General features: G+C 35.9%; 1 annotated feature.

Annotated features, from left to right (window-relative positions):
• Positions 253–786: an enhancer, noted in NCBI's record as "NANOG hESC enhancer chr1:191439867-191440400 (GRCh37/hg19 assembly coordinates)". NCBI's record gives its function as "activates a minimal SCP1, AML or CMV promoter by ChIP-STARR-seq in primed H9 embryonic stem cells {active_cell/tissue: H9 hESC(primed)}" and the evidence as "EXISTENCE:reporter gene assay evidence [ECO:0000049][PMID:30033119]".

Genomic DNA, 1,245 nt, shown 5'->3' with positions numbered 1-1,245 from the left:
TGCTCTTGACTTAGGGGAAAAGGCTCAAAATATAGATGCAGTTGACCTATGCAAATGTTACTTGTTCTTTATGATTACGAATAAGGTTTTATCTCCTCATTTTTGCATGTTTTGTCTTCTTTTTAACTTTTGTAAACCAAAAAGTATCTGAGACAAGTTTCAATCAATTGAGAAGTTTATTTTGCCAAGGTTAAGGACATGCCCGTGGCACAGCCTCAGGAGGGCCTGAGAATATGCGCCAAGGTGGCTGGGTTATGGCATGATTTTGTACATTTTATTGGGACAGATGATGCAAGCAGACATCAACTGATATATGTAAGGTATACATTGATTTGGTCCAGAAATGTGGAACAACTGGAAGCAGGAGCTTCTAGGTCATAGGTAGATTCAAAGATTTTCTGACTGGCAAATGGTTGAAAGAGTTAAATTATTATGTCAAGGCTTGGAATCAATATAAAGGAATGTCTGGGTTAAGGTAAGGGGTTGTGGATATCAAGGTTCTTATTATGCAGATGAGGACTTCAGGTAGCAGGCTTCAAAGAGAATAGATTGTAAATGTTTGTTAGAGGTAAAAAGGTGCCAGACTGTTAATTATTCTTAATTATTCTCTCCTAGTTCAGGAGAAAGGCCTGAAAAGGGAAGGAGAATTTTCAGTGAATGTAGATTTTTCCCTACAAGAGACAGCTTTGCAGTGCCACTTAAAAATATCTCAAGGAAATATAGTTTTGTGTAAAATACTTTGATTAATTTCAGGGCCTGCTATCTGTCATATGATGTATCTTACTGCTACAAAGAGTCAGCTTGGTCAGTCATAAGATCTTTGTTTTAATGTTAATGTTGGTCAGTTGTGCCTGTATTCAAAAAAAAAGGAGCATTTAATGATGCATGTCCACACTCCCTTCCCATCATCACCTCAACTAGTTTTTCATGTTTATTTTGAATGCCTTTGGCTGAGAGGGGGGGATCCATTCAATTGGTTGGTGGCTTATAATTTTATTTTTGTTCTACGCTTTAACATTGCCATCAAGAAAGTGGATGATAATGAAAACTAATGTTTATTGAACTATTTACCAGGGCTTCTGCAAATCATAGAAGATAATTTGCCCAAGTTCACAGAGCTAGTAATTACATAATTTACCGTATTCACAAGGATATGAACTAAACTGTTATTTGATGTAATATTTATCATTCTCTTTATGATGTCTGGTTAGTATATTTTTGACGGCATTTCATTCCTAGATCTAA

Source organism: Homo sapiens, chromosome 1, assembly GCF_000001405.40.
Source record: "Homo sapiens chromosome 1, GRCh38.p14 Primary Assembly".
Lineage (NCBI taxonomy): Eukaryota > Metazoa > Chordata > Mammalia > Primates > Hominidae > Homo > Homo sapiens.
Note: the sequence above shows the minus strand (reverse complement) of the source record. Positions and strands in the feature narration are given on the sequence as shown.